This window comes from Homo sapiens, chromosome 9 (assembly GCF_000001405.40).
Source record: "Homo sapiens chromosome 9, GRCh38.p14 Primary Assembly".
NCBI classification, from domain to species: domain Eukaryota; kingdom Metazoa; phylum Chordata; class Mammalia; order Primates; family Hominidae; genus Homo; species Homo sapiens.
The window spans coordinates 97814480-97836610 of NC_000009.12; the positions used below are offsets into that span (position 1 = coordinate 97814480).

A 22131-nucleotide genomic window follows, 5' to 3' on the forward strand; every position below is an offset into this window, starting at 1 on the left:
AATTTTAGGGTGAGTTTTTCCATTTCTGCAAAAGAAACCATTGGATTTTTTTATGGGAATTGCATTGAGTCTGTAGATGACTGGGTAATCTTGACATCTTATCAATATTAAGTCTGACAACGCATAAACACAGGAATGTCTTTTTACTTATTTAGGTTTTCTTTAACTTCTTTCAGCAATGTTTTGTAGCTTTCAATGTACATCTTGCACCTCCTTGGTTAAATTTATTCCTGCATATTTTATTATTTTTGATGCTATTGTAAATGGAATTGTTTTCTTAATTTCTGCTTTGGATTTTTTATTGCTAGTATACAGAAAGACAACTGATTTTTGTACATAGATTTTGTATCCTACAACTTTGCTAAATTCATTACTAACTCTCACATTTTTGTGTAAGTGGGTGGATTCTTTAGGGTTTTCCATATATAAAATTATGTCATCTTAAAATATAGTTTTGCTTTTTTGTTTCCAATCTGGATGCCTTTTATTTCCATTTCTTTTCTACTACCCCTGGCTAGGACATCCAGTACCATGTTAAATAGAAGTGGTGAAAGCAATAAAAGCTTCTGGTCCTGGATTTTTCTTTGTTGAGAGGCTTTTGATTACTGATTTAATTTTGTTACTTCTTACAGGTCTATTTGAGTTTTCTATATGTTTGTAATTCAGTCTTGGCAGGTTTTGTGTCGGTTCTGGAAGTTTGTGTGTTTTTAGAAATTTGTCCATTTCACCTAGGTTATCCAGTCTGTTGTTGTACAGTTTTTCATAGCATTCTCTTATAATCCTTTTTATTTCTATAGTCAGTAGTAATGGCCCTTCTTTCATTTGTGATTTTAGTAATTTGGGTCTCCTGTTTCTTTTCTTTTTCTTTCTTTCTTTTTTTTTTTTTTTTTTTGAGACGGAGTCTCACTCTGTTGCCCAGGCTGGACTGTTTCTTTTCTTTTTCTTTCTTTCTTTCTTTTCTTTCTTTCTTTTTTTTTTTTTTTTTTTGAGATGGAGTCTCACTCTGTTGCCCAGGCCGGAGTGCAGTGCTGTGATCTTGGCTCACTGCAACCTCCACTTCCCGGGTTCAAGCTATTCTCCTGCCTCAGCCTTCTGAATAGCTGGGACTAGAAGTGCATGCCACAATGCCCAGCTAATTTTTTGTATTTTTAGTAGACATGAGGTTTCACTGTGTTAGCCAGGATGGTTTCGATCTCCTGACCTCACGATCTGTCCACCTCAGCCTCCCAAAGTGCTGGGATTACAGGCTTGAGCCACCGTGCCTGGCCTCCTGTTTCTTAGTCTAACTAAAGGTTTGTCAATTTTGTTGATCTTTTCAAAGAACCAGCTTTTGGTTTCATTGATTTTTCTCTATTTTTCTATTCTCTATTCTGCTTATCTCTTCTCTAATCTTTTGTTATTTTCTTCCTTCTGCCAGCTTTGTGTTCATTTGCTCTTCTTTTTTTAGTTCCTTAATATGTACTGTTAGATTGTTGATTTGAGATCTTTCTTCTTTTTTGATGTAAATACTTACAGTTATAAATTTCCTTCTGAACACTGCTTTTGCTGTATCTCATAAGTTTTGCTATGTTGTGTTTTTCATTTTGACTTGTTTTAATGTATTTTCTTATTTCCTCTTGTGATTTCTTCTTTAACCTATTGGTTAAGAGTATGTTATTTAATTTCCACATATTTTTGAGTTTTTCAGTTTCTTTCTGTTATCAATTTCATATTTTATTCCATTATGGTTGAAAAATATACTGTTTATGATTTTAATCTTTTAAAATTTATTAAGACTTGTTTTGTGGCATAGTATATGGCCTATCATGGAGAATGTTCCATGTGTACTTCAGAAGACTGGATATTCTGCTATTGCTGAGTGGAGTGTTTTATGTGTTCGTTATGTCTAATTGGTTTATAGTGTTGTTCAAGTCTTCCATTTCCTTATTGATTTTCTATCTGGTTGTTCTATCCATTATTCAAAGTAGAGATATTAAAGTCTCCAACTATGACTGCAGAGCTGTCTCTTTCTTCAAGTTTGTCAATTTTTGCTTCATATATTTTGGGACTCTATTTTTAGATATGTATATGTTTATAATTATTATAAAATTTAATATTTATTAGTGGATTGACTATTTTATCAGTATATGATGTCCTTCTTTGTCTCCTGTAACCCTTTACTTAAAATCTGTTTTGACAATAATATATTAATAGCTATCTCAGCTCCCTTTAGCTCACTCTTTGCATGGGATATCTAGGTTAAAAGCATCTTCTTCTGTGAATCCTCACAATAGTCCATTAGCAAAGTAGTAACCCAAACTTGTTTCTTACAACAGAAGTGACTGAATTCACAAGAGCCTGATGATGAATATAAGAACAAAAATCCTCTAACCTAATAAGGGAGGGAATGCATCCCATAAATGAAGTACATCTAAAATGTTGTGGAGGGGCATCAACTCAACTATTTATTTATTCCTTAATCTTATAGCCCTGAGCACCTACTCAATGCCAAGCCCTGAGCTGGACATAGCATTTAATCACTCATGGCCTCTGCTTCCAGGACTTAAAGGATGATGCAGGCAAACAGAGCCATTTTAAGACATTCTTGAGCTACATCTAAGTTTCTTCACCTGTGAAAAAGGGATATTAGCAGCATAACTTCACAGAGGTGTTATAAACGTTAAATTAATTTAAAATATGTAAAGCGCTTAGAACAGTGCTTAGAGCATGTAAGCACCCAATAAATGTCACCTATGATCATTATTATTGTCACCATGGGCCTTAATCACTCTTTCTTTTGTAAGCCTTATCCCACCAGTTAAAGTTAAATGTTTTTTCTGTAAAAGATAGGAGATTTCAGTAATTTTTTTAAATTTAGAATTATTTTCAATTTTACAGTTTTCTTTTTATGTTTGGGAATCAATATATTTTGGGCAAGCTCTTGAAAACTCCCAAGACTGTAACTCTGGTCTCCAGTGGCTAAAGTGGCCCTGCCCAGAGTGATCATGTAGGGCCGCACAGGTGGTGCTTACTGCACAACTCCAAGGAAAACCAGTCTCATAGACTACAAACTGAATGCCCTCATCCCCATTCCCAGGGATGTGTAGTGCAGCATTCCTGGCCTTGTCGGTGAGTAAGTCAAAGACTACTACACAAAGCAATAAAGATCACTTCCAGTTGGGAAAAAGAGAAGGCTTTATGGAGGGATGGCATCTGATGAAGAGTGAAAGAGCCAGTCTGCAGAGATGCTCTGTGAAGGGCATTCCAGGCAGAAGGAACAGTAAAAGCAAAGCAAGGGGGCTACAGTTGGGGAAGAGCAGGTAGCTCTATTTGGTTGGAGTAAAGGATGTGTGAAAGGGGAAGAGGGAAGTAAGTCTGGAGAGAGGTAAAGAATCCAGATCATGGACAGCTTTGAGTGGCAGGCTTACAGTTTGAATTTTGTTATGTAGGCAATGAGAAGTCATTGTACGTTTTTGAGAAGGGAGGTGTCATTATCAAGACTATGCTCAAAGAAGGTCCCTCTGGAAGCTAGTATGGGAGGTAGACTGGAGAGGGCAGAGACTGGGAGAAGGAGACCAGTAAGGAGATGATTGCAATAGTCTTGTAACTGACAGAAGGAATGGAGAGGAGAGACAAAATCAAGATGATGCTGGGGAGGTAGAGTGGACATGGAGCATTAGAATGGCCACCGGAATAAGTGTAGTGGACATAATTCAAATTTCCAACCCATGTGACTCCTCTCCCTAATGTAGGATTGGGTTCACAGGCTGCAGCTCCATTCTCTTCCCCAGACCCTCTGATGACTGTTGCTTGGGGTAGAGGATTTGAAAAATAAGTCCCAGATTGTAGGATTCTAACCTATGTTGAAAGTGGTTGATTATATTGTTTTTGTGTCCGTGTTGTTTCTCATCCTGATGACTGGATTATATAACAGTTGGATGCTCAATTTTGTAAGAGGTTATTAACATATCACATAAAAAGAGGTGTGCATTTGTGAGGCCTTAAAAATGTGGTTAGGGAAGTTCTGGCTACAGCAATTAGACAAGAGAAAGAAATAATGGGCATCCAAATTGGAAAGGAACAAGTCAAATTATCTTTGTTTACAGGTGCTATGATCTTATATTTTAAAAAACCCAAAGACTCTGCCAAAAAAGTATTAGAACTAATAAACAAATTCAGTGAAGTTGCAGGATACAAAATCAACACACAAAAATCAGTAGCATTTCTATATGCCAAGAGTGAACATTCTGGAAAAGAAATAAAAAAGTAATCCCATTTACAATCACAACAAATAAAATAAAATCCATATATGTTTTAGGATTGATTTTTCTATTTCTGTGAAGAGTGTCCTTGGTATCTTGATAGGGATTGCACTGAATATGTAGATCGCTTTAGGTACTATGAACATTTTAACAATATTGATTCTTCCAATCCATGAACATGGAATATCTTTCCATTTTTTGTATCCTCTTCAATCTCTTTCATCCATGTTTTATAGTTTTTGTTGATGAGATCTTTCACTTATTTGGTTAAGTTAAAGGACTTTTCTCAAGATCTCACAGATAGTAAAACATACAGACATTACTCAAGCCCAGGTGATCCATGCTGACCCCGAAGTTCAAGCTTTTAAACACTTTGTTACACTGCCTTCCAGCAAAATCAACTCTATAAGCATAGTGATATTCATGGAGAAATGAAAGCTGAAAGTTCAGGTGGTTGGGTAAGGGTTACAACATTAATAATATAATTCAACATTATTTGAATAGTAATATTTTAATATTTTTAAAAATAAGAAATAGGATGCCAATGGTAAGAGTTCCTAAGGACAACAGGGTAGAAAAATATCTGGAGGCTGGGCGCAGTGGCTCATGCCTGTAATCCCAGCACTTTGGGAGGTCAAGGCAGGTGGATCATGAGGTCAAGAGATCAAGACCATCCTGTCCAACAGGGAAACCCCGTCTCTACTAAAAATACAAAAATTAGCTGGGTGTGGTGGCATGCGTCTGTAGTCCCAGCTACTCAGGAGGATAAGGCAGGAGAATCGCTTGAACTTGGGAGGTGGAGGTTGCAGTGAGCCGAGATCGCACCACTGCACTCCAGCCTGGCGACAGAGCAAGACTCTGTCTCAGAAAAAAAAAAAAAAAAAAAAAAGAAAATGAAAAAGAAAAAAGAAAAATATCTGTAGTTAGGGTAGGTAGCTGAAAGGCATCACTGAGAGCTTGCTGATCTGATAAGAAAGCTCCTTTACCAGACAGAGGGGCATGACTTGTTCAGCTCAGTGGGACCAGCACAGGGCAGGCAAAATCTTGGGAAATGCTTGGTGAATGAATGAATGAGTGAGTGAATGGGTGAGTGACCCTGAAGAGCTGCATAGGAGACTGCTAAGGCTACCTGTTGGGATAAGTGATGGCTGGTGCTTGGGACAGAGTGTATGAGTCCCAGGAGAGTGTGTATGTGTGTATGTGTTTGTGTGTGTGTGTGTAGGTGGGACTTGGAAGGTGGGAGGAAGAGACAGGAGCCTTTGAGAAGCTGGTGAGGGAAATGTGAGGCGAAAGGCATGCAGAAAGAGAAGGTCAGAGAAGAGGGGGCTGGCAGAGGACTTCTGCCCTCACTGGCTTCATCCCAGCAGCTTAGACTTGTTTATTCCCTTAGCAGTTCTGAACCCTCACAGATAACATCATGTGGGTCTCTGCGGGAGGTCACCATAAAGCCTGCACAGTTCAGCCATCCATCCTTGCTACTCCTGAGGATTCAGCTCATTCTACCCACTCATGTCTCAGGGTTCTGTCTTCCCTCGCTTTGCCTGAAAGGTTCAGGCTTCCTGCAGAGAACTCAGGTCTTGCTAGTTGCTTTACCCCCACTGTCTCATTTCATCCTCCCAGCAACCCTGCAGATGGGTTCTTCAGTGATTCCCATTTTTCAGATGAGGACCCTGAGACTTGGAGAAGGAAAGTAAATTGTCCACAATCACATACCTAGCAAGGGCTGAGTGAGGGATCTGCTGGACTGGTTTCAAGTTCTAAATTTGCTAATGACTTTCTCACCTTCCACACTCATAAGGTGGGATTAGGATCCCTGCTGTCCTTCCCTGAAGGGGGGCTTTGAAGAGCCATTGAGATGATAGAAGTGAAACCACTTTGTCAATTAGGGAGATAAGAAATGGAGTGTGAAAAGATCCAACCTGGGTTCGAACCCCAGCCTCACTGCTCATTTCCTGGGTAACCATGATAAATTAATCTCTCTGGACTTTCATTTCCTTACCAACAAAAGGAGGTGATAATATGTATCAGGAGGATTTAATTAGATATCAGATATGAGGCTCTTAGCACACTCTGTGACATAGGAAGCTCTACTAAATGGCAGCTCTTAATAACAGACTGTGAAGTCCAGGAGCTTACTAACTACAGTATTTTTTTTTAACCAAAGGACAAGAAGACATAGAATCTAAGCCAGACTGATGTCAGTGAATGTGATTTACATGGAAATAAGAAAATTCTGAATAAACAAAACTCGCCATACCAGGTGTGAAAAATAAGATCCTGAGGCACTGGTATTTTTAGCAGCCATTTTGCCTGTCATTCTTGTTTCATTTTCCTAACTCTCTGTGGGGATGAGTTTTTAAATAATTTAACTGCTAATCTTCAAACAAATTCTCATTCAAGGAGATTAACAAATGCCCTCCATTCATTTTTTCTTTCATTCATTTAGTAGGTATTTGTCCATTTAGCAGATATTTACTCAGTACCTGCTTTGGGCCAAGCACTGTGACAAGTGCTGGGGATATAGTGGCCGTTCCTGGCATCAACAACTTCTAGTCTAGTCCAGAAAACAGACAAACCAATCACCAGGTACAGCTTCCTTGAAGAGGTGGCACATGAGGAGTCATCTGGTGAAAGGTAGGAGAGTGGGGTGAGGGCAGGTCAGGATCAGGTAAGAGTAAAGCAAGAGAGATATTTGGGGGAAGGGCAGGTAAGAAGGCATGGTGGGGAGAAGCCCAGAGAGATGGGAAAAGTCCTGATCAGGAAGGATGGCTCTGGAACTTTGTAGCAGATTGAACATCTGCTTGAGCTAGAAAAAGCAGGCAAGGGCAGGGAGTGGGGAAGATTGATCACGGCCTCCCCAGAAGGGTTTCGTGTGGTTGTTTGTTTAGCTTTGTTTTTAGTTCTAGGATCTCAAATGGGCTAGATTCTGAACCTAGCTCCATGTTTAACCTGATGTTTGATCTTGGCAAGTCACCATCTCTCTCTAAGTCTCATTTTCATCAACTCTAGCTGAGGCTAAGAGAGGAAAGGGGAGGAATCCAAGATTATAAACCTTGAACCCAGGGTCCTGGCTCAACACACTGGCGAGTACATGAAACAGATCTGTTCATATCTAATGCTGGGGGGAAAGAGTGCTTATCGAATTGAGGATCTTTCAAAGGTAAACCGCATAAATAAAATAAATAGCATGAACATGAGTAAGTATGTGGCTAAGGTTAGTGTCTATGGCAGGATGTTATGGAGTCTAAGAATTAATAAATTCAAAATAAGAATAGATGCATTTGAGTAAGATTGGTATGTGAGGCCAACCTAACAAAATCACATACAGCCAGCATTTACCTCCTCTCACTCCAGAAAAGCCTGTCTTGCCCCTATTCTTTAAGATTATAAGGATATGGGCATCTTAGTCCATTTTCTGCTGCCAAAATAGAATAGCACAGACTGAGTAATTTTTTTAAGAAATTTATTTCTCATGGTGCTGGAGGCTGGGAAGTCCAAAAGCATGGAGCCATCATCTGGTGAAGGTCATCACATGGAAGAGGGTGGAAGGCAGAAGACAGAGAGAGGAAATCAGGCAAACGGATTATTTTTATTAGGAGCCAACTCTCGCAATAAGTAACCCACTCCTGCAATAATGCCATTAATCCATTCATGAGGTGGAGCCCTCTTGACCTAATCACCTCTTAAAGGTCTTGCCTCGGACGGGCGCGGTGGCTCACACCTGTAATCCCAGCACTTTGGGAGGCTGAGGCGGGCAGATCACTTGAGGTCAGGAGTTTGAGACCAGTCTGGCCAACATGGCAAAACCCCATCTCTACTAAAAATACAAAATTTAGCTTGGTGTGGTGGCGGGCACCTGTAATCCCAGCTACTTGGGAGGCTGAGACAGGAGAATCGCTTGAACCCAGGAGGCAGAGGTTGCAGTGAGCTGAGATCGCCCATTGCACTTCAGCCTGGGCAACAGAGCAAGAGTCCATCCCAAAAACAAAGAAACAAACAAACAAACAAAAAAGTCTTGCCTCTCAACAGTTGCAATGGCAATTAAATTTCAACATGCGTTTTGGCTGGGACAGTCAAACGATAGCAATGAGCAAGCACAAAAAAATGAAGCAGTTGTCAACACTGATGTCTTTCAGTGAGACCAGCTATAGAATGATTGCTAGCCAACTCCTGTCCAAAACCTACCTGGAATTTGGCAATATCTACTACAGATTTAAAATATTAATGTCCTATGACCTAGCAATTCCACTTCTGAGAATCTATTTTTTAAATAATGAAAGTTGCAAAGACTCCTGTACAAACATATTCATTGCCACATTATTTATAATAATAAAAATTAGAAACAAATGTCTGTTTTAAGCTGGGTTTCCCCCAGAAGTTGACCCTGAGACAAGGTTATGGATGCAAGTAGTTTATTTTAGAAGTGACCCTAGGAAGCACCAGTAGGGGGATAAGGCAGTGGGTCAGGCAAGGAAAGAAACCCTGTAAAGGGTAAGTTATCAAGCCGGTTTCCACCATGGGCAACTGGGGCTCAGTCCCACAGGGGAACCCTCAGAGACACTGCAAATCATACCTCAGAATGACCCCACCTGACAAGTGAGGAAGCTGGAGTATTTACCCATCAACTCTATATCTGTCATCATTTTCTGTGACTCCTGGGGGCATTAACTTCCTAGAACTTTCATTTTGTTCCACATGCAGGCTAAGTATACTCTCATAGATAGAAGAAAGTCCTCAGGAAAGTCATAGGTGTTCCCAGTAAGCAGCCTCCAGTGAATAGAGGTAAGTCCTATGTGACACAGCAGAGCACTGACAATGTTGAACATAGGATAAGTCGGTGAAAGACAAGATGATAGATGTTGAGGAAAAATAAGCATAAAGCCAATATACACTTATTTGGTGTTCCTTAAGAGATTAGAATAAATGAAGCACATGACAATATAAAAGCTAGAAAAGAGAACTTTTACAGAGACGGGAAAAAAACTGGTGTATGTGGGATTGAAAGGTTTAATCATGTGCTGTGCAAAATCAATAAAAGAGGCTCCATCTAAATATATTCTAGAAAACATTTAGAACTGAGAGCAATTTTTAAAATCCACACAGACAGAAAACTAAAGTTACCACAAAAAAACAAAACTCAATTTAACTTCAAACTTGTCTTTTGCAAAAGTAGCATGAAAGATAATAAAGTAACATTTACAAAGTTTTTGAGAGTAAGAAATGTTGCGTACCAATAACTTCATATAAAGACAAGTTGGCTTTTATATAGAAAGAAAACAGAGAAATTTGGGAGAGTAGTTCCACTCATTAAAAAAAAAGAAAGAGGATATAAAGCCTAAAGCATTTCCAAAGATGAAGTTCTATTAAAAATGAATATCTCAGTCAGAAATGTACCACACAAAAAATGAGGTGGCAGATCAGAACTGCAAAAACTGTAGACTTAAGCTATTAGAACTATCTAAATAAAAATTTTAAATTGTATATACTATGTATCAGAAACTAAAAGAGTCTTGAAAATATGAACACAAGGCTATGACAATAACTTAGCATTTATAGAATACTTCTCTCAACAATAGCAGAATATGTATTCTTCTCAAGCTCAAATGGAGCTTGAGAAGATAGACTAAGACAGACCACATTCTGGGCCATAAAACGCACCTTAATGCATTTAGAAGAATAGAAATCATGCCATTAATGTTCCCAGACCACAATAGAATTAAATTAGAAACCAGTAACAGGAAGTCCTAGCTAATGTGATAAGATAAGAAAAGGAAATAAAAGGTATACAGATTGGGAAGGAAGAAATAAAACTGTCTTTGTTCACAGATTACATGATTGTCCATATAGCAAATCCCAAAGAGCTGACCAAAAACAAAACAAAAACCTCCTGGAACTAATAGGTTGTAGGATACAAGGTTAATATACCAAAATCAATTGCTATCCTATAGACCAGTAACTAACAAATGGAATTTGAAATTTAAAATAATTCAATTGAAATTAAAATTTAAATTTAAAATATTTTATTAAAAAATTATAAAATAATACCAGTCATATTAGACTAAAAAAGAGATACTTAGGTATAAATCTAACAAAATATGTACAAGATCTATATGAAGAAAACTATAAAAATTTTATGAAAGAAATCAAAGAATTAAAAATAAATGGATAGCTATAATCATGTTCATGATTAGGAGGACTTAATGTTGTTCAGATATCATTTCTTTCCAACTTGATCTATAGGTTCTACACAATACCAATCAAAATCCCAGCAAGTGATTTGTGGATATTGACAAATTGATTCTAAAGTGTATATGGCTGGCCAGGCATGGTGGCTCACCTTTGTAATTCCAGCACTTTGACTGGGGAGGATCATTTGAGGCCAGGAGTTCAAGACCAGCCTGGGGGAACATAGTGAGACCCCCATCTCTACCAAAGAAAAAAAGTTTATATGATGAGGCAAACAACTCACAATAGCCAACACAATACTGGAGGACAACATAGTTAGGAAATTGACACTATTCAACTTCAAGGCTTACTATAAAGCTACAGCAATGAAGGCAACAGTGTGGCATTGGCAAGGGAATTTTAAAAGTCCCAGTAAAACATAATAGCATGAAAATAGGCCCATACAAATATAGTCAACTGATCTTTGGCAAAGGAGCAAAAGCGATTCAATGGAGGCAGAACAATCTTGTCAAAAAGGGTACTGGAACAACTGGACATTTTTACATGCAAAAAAAAATTAATCTACACACAGCCTTCATACCTATCACAAAAATTAACTCAAAAGAGAACATAAACCAAAATGTAAAATGAAAAACGATAAAACTCCTAGAAGATAACACAGGAGAAAATCTAGATGACCTTGGGTTTGGCAATGACTTTTTAGATACACCAAAGGCATGATCCATGAAAGAAAAAAAAATTTAAAGTTGGACATAAAAACAAATTCTATTCTGCATAAGATACTGTCAAGAGAATGAGAAGTCAAGCCATAGACTGAGAAAAGATATTTTCAAAGCATATATCTGATAAAGAACAGTTGTCCAAAATTACAAAGAACTCTTAAAACCTAACAATAAGAAAGCAACCCAATGTTTAAAATGGGCAAAAAAATCTGAACAAACACCTCACCAAGGAAAGTTATACAGATGACAAAGGATATCATACATCATTAGGGAATTGCAAATTAAAACAACAATAAGATACCACTTTACATCTATTAGAATGGCAAAAATCCAAAATACTAACAACACCAAATGCTGGCAAGGATATAGAAGAAAAGGAACTTTCATTCATTGCTGGTGGAAATGCAAAATGGCACAGCCACTTTGAAACACAGTTTGGCAGTTTCTTACAAAACTAAACATACTCTTACCATATGATCCAGTAATTACTCAGATAACTTGAAAATGTATGTCTGTACAAAAGCCTGCACACAAATGTTTATAGCAGCTTTATTCATAATTACTGTTATGGTTTGAATATTTTTGCCCCTTCAAAATTCATGTTGAAACTGAATCCCCAATGCAACAGTATTATTAAGAGGTATAGCCTTTAGGAGGTGATTGAGTCATGAGGACTCCACCCTCATGAATGGGATTAGATACCCTTATAAAAGTGCTTGGCAGAGGGAATTTGCGCCTTTTTACACATCCGTCCATTCTGCCATGTGAGGACACAGCATTCCTCCCCTCTGGAGGATGCAGTAACAAAGCACCATGTTAGAAGCAGAGCGAGCAGTCCTCATCAGATACCAAGCTTGCCTTGATCATGGACTTCCCAGCCTTCCGAACCGTGAGAAATGAAAAAACCCAGTCTGTGGTATTTTTTGTCACAGCACAAATGGATTAAGACAATTGCCAAAGTGTGGAAGTAACTAAGATGTCCTTCAATAGCTGAGTGGATAAATAATTACATCCATACAGTGGAATATTATTCAGTGATAAAAAGAAACAAGCCATCAAGCCATGAAAACACATGGAGGATCCTTAAATCCATATCACTAGGTGAAAGAAACCAATCTGAAAAGGCTACCTACTGTGTGATTCCAATTATATGATATTCTGGAAAAGGCAAAACTATGGAGACAGTAAAAAGACCAGTGATTGCCGGGGGAACTAAGGTATGAATAAGTGGATCACAGGGGATTTTAAGGCAGTGAAACTATTCTGTATTATACTATAATGATGGACACTTGCCATTATACATTTTTCAAAACCCATACACTATAAATAAAGAGAGTTAACCCTAATACAATCTACAGACTTTAGCTGGTAGCGATGTGTCAATGTTGGTTCATCAATTGTAACAAGTGCACCACACTAGTGGGGAAAGTTGATGGTCGTATGTGTGTTGAGGGGTGGGATTGCAGTATGTGAAAACTCTTCGCATTTTCTTCTCAGTTTTGCTATAAATCTAAGCTGCTCTAAAACAGTATATTAATTTTTTTAAAACTGACAAGAAAAAAACATAAAACCTAGTAGTCCTACAATTGTCACACACATTGAATTGTTTAAAAAATTTCCACAAAGGAATCAGCAAACCCAAAAGATTTTAATAGCAAAATCTTTCAAACACTTAAGAAAAAAAATCCTAATAGAAAATGGGGCGGGGCATGGTGGCTCACACTTGTAATCCCAGCACTTTTGGGGGCTGAGGCGGATGGATCCCCTGAGGTCAGGAGTTCGAGACCAGCCTGACCAACATGGAGAAACCCCGTCTGTACTGAAAAATTCAAAAATTAGCTAGACGTGGTTGTGGATGTCTGTGATCCCAGCTACTCAGGAAGGCTGAGGCAAGATAATCACTTGAACCCGGGAGGTGGAGGTTACAATGAGCCGAGATCACGCCGCTGCACTCCAGCCTGGGCGGCAGAGCGGGACCTCCATCTCAAAAAAAAAAAGAGAAAAGAAAAAGAAACAGAAAATGAGACTCACTGCGGTCTGACTGTTTGTGTCCCCCTCAAAATTCATATATTGCTACCTAATCCCCAGTGCAATAGCATTAAGAGGGGAGGCCTTTGGGAGGCGAGAGCATTCATGAATGGGATTAGCACCTTTATAAAAGAAGCCAAAAGGAGCTTGTTCACCCATTCTATCATATAAGGACACAGATAGAAGGTGCCATCTTAGAAGCAGAGAGAAGCCCTCACCAGACACTGAATGTGCTGTTGACTTGATCTTGGACTTCCCAGGCTCCAAAACTGTAAGCAATAAATTCACGTTGTTTGCAAATTGCCCAGTATCTGAGTTATTTTGTTACAGCAGCCCAAACAGACTAGACAGGACTATTCCCCAATTATTTCATGATGATACCATAAACTTGACACAAAACCTTGAAAATAACATTAAAAGAAAGGATAATTGATTATGGATCAACCTTATTCATGAGCTGGATACCAAACTTGCAAACAAAATATGAGCAAATCAAATCCAATAATATATAAAAATGATAGTATATCTTGCTCTAGATAAGGTATATCGCCAAAATACAAGGTGGTTTAACATTTTCAAAAATCAGATTAATATTAACAGGTTAAAGAATATGATTATCTCAATAAATGCAGAAATAGCATTTAAAAAATCAACATCCAATCTATGACATAATTCCCTAAAATCTAGGCACAGAGGGAAACTTCTTAACTTGATAAGTGTATCCCCCCCAACCAAAAAAAAACTATGGCAAAATACTATATTTATTTGTGAAACATTAAAACATTATTTTTAGATAGAGATCAAAACAAGGATGCCCAATATCATCACTTTAATTCATCATTGTATTGAAAGCAATAAAGCAAGAGAAAAGTTACATACATATTTGAAAGGAAAAAACAGAAGTGTCGTTACTCACAAATTATATAATTATATACACTCAAAACACAAAGAACTCTAGAATAAATTATTAGATTTTTTAAGAGAGTTTAACCAGTTGCCAAATAACCAGTTACAAAATTAATGTAAAAAGTTCAGTGCTGTTATATCCATCAGCAATAAACAAGTAGAAACTTCAATTTAAGAAGACCTAATATTTTCAATTTTATTTTTTAAAAAGACAAAGTGTTAGAAATAATTTCAATAAGATGCACAAGGCCTTTACTGAGAAAATAGAAAACTTTATTGATAGACATTAAGGAAAACCTAAACAAATTATAAATAAAACATGTTCATGAATTGAAAGGCTCAATGTCATACAAAGTATTAGCCCAAGCCACTAATTTATGAGAAATACAGAAGATAAAAACATGTTGAACTACACCATAAAAATACAATTCAGAATATGGAAAACTCTATAAGACCAACAATCCAGCTTCTTCAACAAATAAATTCCAGAGAAAATAAAAGATGGAGCAATACTTTATGTATTAAGTGAGATAAGACTACTGAAAGCCAACCCAAAACAAAATGTAGAAACAAAAACAAATAAATTCATGAAATGAATGAATGAGTTGGAAATTTAAACCTTGACTTTTAACAAGTCATCAAGTTGCCCTTGATGATATTAAAGACTTATTGTTAATTTTTGGGGAGTACAACAACAGTATTGGGGTTTTGATATCTTTTAGAGATATACACTGAAATATTTACAGATGAATTTAAATGACGTCTGGGATTTGTTTCAAAATAATATGAGCACAGGGGACGATGGGGGCACAGATGGTACCAAATTGGACAGGATTGATGGCTGTTAGGGCTGGGTAATGAGTACAAAGGGATACATCATACTATTTGTTTTGTATATGCTTAAAATTCCAATTTTTTAAATTAAACATATATATCAAATATACATGTTATCCCTTACTCATTTATAGACTTCATATAATCCTAATCAGAATCCCAACAGAAGACAAAATAAATGTAACATATATGCTAATAGAATACTAAGCAACATTTTACATGATGCTCTTAAAAAATATTTAACTACATAGAAAGTCATTTATACATATTATTAAAGCAAATTATGAAGGATTATGTGTAGAAAACTTCCATTTATATAAAAAATAGGCCAACTGAGGACCAGAGCTCAGACAAGGAGTTTTTGCAGAAGGTTAAGTATCAGAGAGGTATGTCCAAGTGAGTGCTTCTTAACATTCACTATGCTTTGGAATCATCTGGGGGGACTTTTTTTTTTTTTTTTTTTTTTTGAGGCTGAGTCTCGCTCTGTCATCAGGCTGATGTACACTGGCACAATCTCAGCTCACTGCAACCTCCACCTCCCGGGTCCCAGTTCAAGCAATTCTCCTGCCTCAGCCTCCCGAGTAGCTGGAGGCGTGCACCACCATGCCCATCTAATTTTTGTATTTTTAGTAGAGACGGGGTTTCACTATGTTGGCCGGGATGGTCTCGATCTGTTGACCTCATGATCCACCCCCTCGGCCTCCCAAAGTGCTGGGGTTACAGGTGTGAGCCAATGTACCCAGCCTCATCTGGGAGGACTTTCAAAATATACAGATCACCAGGCCCTACACCAAAATATTCTATTTCAATTGGCCTGAAATGGAGCCCAGGCATCCATAGATTTTAAAAACTCTTCAGGTGATTTCAATGTATTTCCAGGTGATTTTAATGTGCAGGACTGAGAACCAATTATCTAGATTTACAAAGAGAAGCATAGAAAGATGGGTGGAGAATAGAAATGTGATAGAGATGTAATAGATATATGATTGATGGACAGATGAAAGATTTTTAATAGGTAGATAGATACGTAGGTGACACATGGATAGATGATAGATTTTTGAAACATGATGGATGAGACAGAAATATGGATAGATAGATAGATAATAGGTAATTAAGTAGATAAACAGTAGACCTGAAGATCTGAAGGAAGGGAAGAGAAAAAAGAGGAAAAAGGGATGGGAAAAGAAGGAATGGAATTTGGAATGACAGGTCAGAAATGGCCCACAACTCAGACCCTCAATGGACAAAAGAAAATGAAACAAAAATGAATTTGGAAAAATAAAAGGTGAATAGGTACAGCTAATGCAATGAAATGTAAAAGTTGTCTGTTCTTTGATCTATTATTTTTATTTAGAATCTATACCCCCTACTCATTTCACAAAGATATCTGTGATGTCTTAAAAGTTAAAGAATGGGGAGTGACTGCTTAGTGGATAAGGGGTTACCTTTTGGGATGAGGAAAACATTCTGGAACTAGATAGTGGTGCAGATTGTGAGTGCACAATCGATTGCATGGCATTGTGAATTACTCGATGTCATTAATGGTAAATTTTATGTTACATGTTTTTTACCACAATAAAAAAAATATATCCAAGAAAGATGAATTTTAAACTAAGAGAACCAATTCAAAAGAGCAGAGGATGTTGCCAGACCATTGGGGTGAGTTAATAATTACCACCAGCACTAAATTCCTTCCATGTCTCCTAGCAGCAAAGCAAAAGAAGAAATCTGGCAGATTATGGGGTTTTCTGTATATGTTCATGGACTCTTTGTGTAGCAAGATCTCTGTCTCCTTTCATTGTGCCCATTTCTTTATCTCATTGTATCACATGCTGATGATGGCAGGAGTGAAAGTGGGAGTCCTTCGGAAGGTTAGACCCAGTCAGGAAAGGAGGATTTGCGCCGGCTGGAAGAGGCAAGTCTGAGCTCAGCTCCCTCCCAGTGGAGTGATATCCACTCCCAGCCTGTCATCAAACGGCTCCTGAAGAATAGCAGGCCCTGCCGCTGCCTGGCCTTGGCCTCACCGGTGGGGCAGATGGCTGTTTGTTCAGTCTGAGCCTGGTAGAATCAGCCCTGACACTGATGGCCCTGTCTGTATTATGGAAGAGGACCCGGCTTACCTGCCCGTAGACAAACAAAGCGGATGATTTGACAGGCAAAACAGAGCCAGCCTCCTGTCTCCCAGGCAGCTAAGGGGCTATTCAAACCCAAGACCTGGAAGATTTTCATAGGTGCTGACATACGAAGCCGGAATGCAGAAGGGACAAGACAGAACTGACACCTGTGCAGTCAGGCGTGGCCAGCCACTCTGGGTATCCACACTGCGCCTTCAGAAGCTTGGAGTAGGCTCCACCCAGGAGAGAGACAGGGAAGAAAAGGGGGAGGGGTGGGAGACAGAGAGGAAGGGGGAGGGGAGATAAGAGGGTAGAGGGAGAGAGAAGGGAGTAGAGGGATAGGGAAGAAGACAGAGAGGAAAAGAGAGAGATCGAAATTTGGGGGAGAGGGCCCCAGTTTTCAGGCCTGCACCTTCAGCAAACCTCACCTTTGCCGCTGCCCTTGTTATTGTTCGACAGAGGAAAACCTTCCAGGCCACTCTCCTGGGAGCACAGAACTGCTCCGGAGAGCCAGGAATACTGACCAAGCCACTCACAGCAGGGGCCGGGAGGGGCTGCAAAGGAGCATGTATGGAGTTCCCACTGTATCGTTGTATGCGAGAGGCACTAGCTGGGGGCTTTACCCTCAGTCGCTGATAGCACCTTCAAGGAGCCCCTAAGGTACATACCCTATTATCTCTCTACTTTGCACATGAGGAAACTGAGTCTCTATAACAGTAATTTGCCCAAGTCACCCAGCTGGGAAGTGGCATAGCTGGAATTTGAACCCAGGTCTCCCAAGCACCTGAGCCCTGCTCTTTCTCCCTGAATTAAGCCAGTTCGTAAGACCTACAAGGCCCTGGAATCCATCAAAGTGACTGTGGTTCTTTCCAGATCTGTGACCCCAGCCATATGCCTTCTCTTTTCTGAGTCTCAACTTCCTCATTTGCAATATGAGAGGAAATTGTTGTAAAAACTAAATGAGACAGGAAGGTGAGAATGCTTGGTCATCATTGGTATTAGGTCAGCATTGCAGAGCTTCATCACACTTTTTTTTTTTTTTGAGACTGGGTCTCGCTCTGTCACCCAGGCTGGAGAGCAGTGCAATTACAGCTCACTGCACCCTCAAAGTCTTCAGAGATTCTCCCACCTCAGCCTCCACAGCAGCTGGGACTATAAGTGTGCAACACTGCACTTACCTAGTTTTTTAAATTTTTTGCAGAGATAGGGGTCTTGCTATGTTGAGAAGGCTGGTCTCCAACTTCTGGCCTCAAGCAATCCTCTCACCTTGGCCTTCCAAAGTGCTGGGGTTATAGAATCACACTTCTTGACCATTCTCAAAAACCACCGCCACCCTCAAAGAAGGTGGCCAAATCTACACAGATAGAACTTTACCTGTCCCTCGCTCAGGACTCTGAAAGAGCATTCTCTGCCCAGAGCCATGAGCAACCTGAAAGCAGAATTGCACCCCATTTGTCTACCCCAAGTGATCATCACAGAAACCAACACTTAGTAGGGACTCAATAAATGCTATTGAATGAAAGAAAACATAAATCTGAATGAAAAGTTAGCCACAAGACATGTCACATGCTGTGACGAAAAGAGTTGGGAATCAAAAGAACTGGTTCTGGCTCTACTAATAATGCATTATGGGCACTCACTGGCCCTCTCTGGATCTCAGGGATCCCATTAATTGAACTGAGAGAGGTGGAGTAGGTATTCTTTGGCAGTCCATTTCAGCTCTGATTTTGTGTGAGGCTGTAGGGTTAATGGGAAAGAAAGATCACACCTTCTGCAGCCCACCCTCCCCTCTCCATGAAAAGCCAAAGCTACATTATGGGCATATTTGAGGATAGTCAGGGAACATTCTAAATAAATGGCATCTATGTAACTCCTGATTTAATCAGAAACAGACCAGCAACATTCTCAACAGCCAGATCCTTCAGTCTATGGAATACAGACTCACTCATGTGTGCACTGAGCCTTACAGTTTGCAAAGTGCTTCACCTCCTTTGTCTTATTTAAACCTCAGCACAGTCCTGTGAGGGGCCCTACAATGGCAGAAGTCATCACCCTGTTTTACTGACCATGAAACTGAGGTCACAGGGATGAAATGACTTACCCAGAGGCATACGGGGAAACAGTAGTAGAGCTGAGATGTGAACCCAGAACCAGGCTCCTGACCCCAAATTTAGCCTTCTTTCCTCTACACAGTTCACCTGTACACAGGCTGTGAGCAGGAGATGAACTCATTCAACCAAAGCCTGATTTGGAGGTTCACAAGTTTATCACCTGGGTGGAAAACTGCCCAGCACAGTGGAGCATTTTAAAGTCAAATTTGGAGCAGAAGAGTGCATGCAGTGATACCAGATGGGCTTGTGGCCATGGAGAGTTGGCTGTATGGGAGGCAAGAGGCCAAGCCTGGGCTGCAAGCCTCATATGCCACTCAGTGCTGCAGCTGGAAGGATGGCCTACATTCAACCTCTGAATATGGAGATACTGAAAGACAGCCATGCCCATAGATACATACCCACTGCCCAAGCTCCCTTCCCCATGCCTACCCTGTTCCCCCAGCTGTCCTGGTTGTCTCAACCCTTCCCCTGGGATGCCCAGGACCCACTTGCAACTAAAAGGTTAAAGCCTGGCATCGCAGGGGCCCGGTCTGAGCAGGCTTCCATTCTAATTGATCCAGGGCATATTCTGATTGGCCAATACCTCCTGCCCTGCAGAGTGTTAAAATTTTTTTCAGTTATAGAAAAATTTGAATTTTATTAGTTAAAACATTATATCTATGATACGTTCTTACCAAACAGTAGGAAATTGTAATTCCTGCAGCTAACATGAATTCTACTCAAGAACATGCTATTTCGGTTCTTTTGATGAAATTTTCTACCCTCAAAACTCTTCTTTCATCAATTAAAAAAAAAAAGACTAATTTACATCAATCGTTGTTATGCAACAGCTATTGCCATTTAATGGAGAAAGTGACCACCATTTCCCCTGCATTATTTCTACCATATAATCAGTTCCTAATAACCTATTATTGTCCTCCCATAAAAATCTCTGCATCCTAATGTCTTGGCCTGCTCATTTCATTGTTGGTAGAGCCTTTCTTTCCTATAACCTACAATACCCTCTTGTCAGAAAAGCATCCTGAACACAATAAGTATGATGACTGACATAATAATTTTACATTATACTCTACCCCTGCTCCAGGCTCTCTAATTCAGAAAATAGAATATTGTTAATATCACTCCATCAGGCTAGAAGAGACCTTGGGGAATGTCTTAGTGCTTCTCTATCATTTGAGTTTGAAGATACTTTTTTAACAGCTATAAATTCCACAGTCCTTGCAACATACAAAGTAGATAGACTTTTCAGTAAACACTGAGAAATTTTATGTCCAAAAAATGACCAAAAATTCAGTAACATCTTAAAATGAATTTGCATTTTATTTGTCACGCAGCTTGACATACATTTGAAAAGTAGTCATATATGCATATATACACACACACATACATACACACACACACATATATATATATAAAATACAGGTTGAGTATCCCATATCCAAAATGCTTGGGAACAGAGTGCTTCAGATTTTGGATTTTGGGGGATTTTGGAACGTTTGCATGTGCATAAAGAGATCTCTTGGGGACAAGACTCAGGTCTAGACACAAAATTTATTTATGTTTCATATATACCTTATAGACATAGTCCAAATGTAATTTTATACAATATTTTTATAATTTTATGCATGAAATAAAGTTTGTGTACATTGAACCATCAGAAGGCAAAGGTGCCACTCTCCCAGCCCCCCATGTGGACAATCTGGTTGTTTGGCATCACCATCATTCCTGACTCTGAATTTATATGCTTCTGATTAGCAATCATTTTCTTATGCTAATTCACACCTAAGTACTTGATAGTAAAAAATATGACATACCATTAATGCAGTAAAAAACTAATGTGTTCAGGGTAACTGAGCAGCACAGTAGCATCACCAGAATGCCTGCATCAACTGTAAAACAACAGCAACAAATAACAGCAGGCTTTCATTCCCCATCTATAATGCTGTTTTGATTAAAAAGTTACTGTACACTGTATATTTGGGGTGGGGAGTTGAGCCGGGCATGATGGTTCACGCCTCTAATCTCAACACTTTGGGAGGCTGAGGTGGGAGGATCACTTGAGGCCAGGGGCTAGAGACCAGCCTGGGTAACATAGTGGGACCCTATCTCTACAAAAATAAAAGAAATAAAAATTTAAACAAAATTAGCCAGGCATGGTGGTTCATGCCTGTAATCCCAGCTACTTAGGAGGCCAAGGTGGAAGGATCGCTTGAGCCCAGGCCCTCAAGGCTGCAGTCTTCTATGATCGTCCCATTGCACTCCAGCCTGGGCAACAGAGCGAGACTCTCTCTCTCAAAAAAAAAAAAAAAAAAAGCCCACAAACAGTTGAAGGATCAGGAAGAGGGTATGCTGAGGCCGAGATGGAGTCACTGGTGAGTTCCACCAAATGTTTAATGAATAACACCGATACTTCATAAATTATTCCAATAAGATAGAAGAGGAAGGAATACTTCACATCTCAATCCGTGAAGCCACTATTACCCTGATGCCAAACAAGACGAAGATATCATGAGAAAAGCATAGACCAATATATTTTATGAATATAGATGTAAAATCTTCAAGAAAATGCTAGCAAACTGAATTCAACAACATATGAAAAGGATTATACACCATGCCCAAGCGGTATTTATCTCAGAATGTAAGGTTGGTGCAGCATATGAAAATCAATCAATATACTATGACATATTAATAGAATAAAGGACAAAAACTACACAGTCATCTCAATAGAGGCAGAAAATACATTTGATAAGATCCAACTCCATTTCATGATGCCAAAAAAAAAAAAAAAAAACCTCAACAAAGTAGGCATAGGAGAGAATTTCCTCAATCTGAAAGAGGGAAGATATGAAAAACTCACTGCTAACATCATACTTAATGGTGAAAAAAATGAATGCTTTCCCTAAGATCAGGAAGAGGAAAAGGATGTACATTCTCCCCACTTTTTTTTTCAACTATTTTCTTAGATTCAGGGGGTACATGCGCAGGTTCA

At 39.0% G+C, this 22131-nt stretch overlaps 1 long non-coding RNA gene across 1 annotated transcript in view, besides 1 other annotated feature; it reads right to left on the reverse strand.

Moving 5' to 3' along the window:
- PTCSC2 (papillary thyroid carcinoma susceptibility candidate 2) overlaps nt 1–22131 on the reverse strand; it is a 153456-nt gene that overhangs the window by 114855 nt on the left and 16470 nt on the right. The gene's annotated exons all lie outside the window — the stretch shown is intronic.
- Nucleotides 12999–13220: a silencer, noted in NCBI's record as "fragment chr9:100589760-100589981 (GRCh37/hg19 assembly coordinates)". NCBI's record gives its function as "represses an EF-1alpha promoter that drives an FKBP-Casp9 reporter gene in an ReSE screen in K562 erythroleukemia cells {active_cell/tissue: K562}" and the evidence as "EXISTENCE:reporter gene assay evidence [ECO:0000049][PMID:32094911]".